The following is a 525-nucleotide window of genomic DNA, read 5'->3' as shown; positions in this document are numbered from 1 at the left end:
TGTTGGGAGTTTGATCTGCCATTTATCAAGTATGGAATCTTGAACAAGGGGTTAAACATCTGAATGTCTCCATCACTTCATCTCTAAAGTGGGGGTGCTCACACCCACTGGGCTCCCCCACCCAGGTTGGTGCCGGACTCTCCCTGGGCCCCCCTGTTCTCTCACCAGCCACATCCATTCTCCCCCTAGAGGCGCTAGTGACTGTGCGTGGCTTTCCATTCCCACCACGTTTGTCTCTAACCCCAGTGGCAGATCAGTGTAAGAACACAGCTGAGTGCTCCTCGCCTCCTTGCCCCTTCAAGGGCCCCTCACCACCCACCAGATCAGGTGCAAACTTCCAAGTCTTACTGGATCCCCTTCCACATTCTGAGCTCCGCCTGCCTTCCCATCGCTATCCTTCCCCACCTGCCTCCCTGGTAGAGAAAAGCGGAGTGTGTGATGCTGTCTGAATGCTGAGCACGGCCTTTTGCAGCCAGTCCACTGTGTACGCTGCCCCTATCGGAGACCTCCACCTTAACCCTTTCC

The sequence above is a fragment of the Homo sapiens genome, chromosome 22 (genome assembly GCF_000001405.40).
Source record: "Homo sapiens chromosome 22, GRCh38.p14 Primary Assembly".
NCBI lineage: Eukaryota > Metazoa > Chordata > Mammalia > Primates > Hominidae > Homo > Homo sapiens.
Note: the sequence above shows the minus strand (reverse complement) of the source record.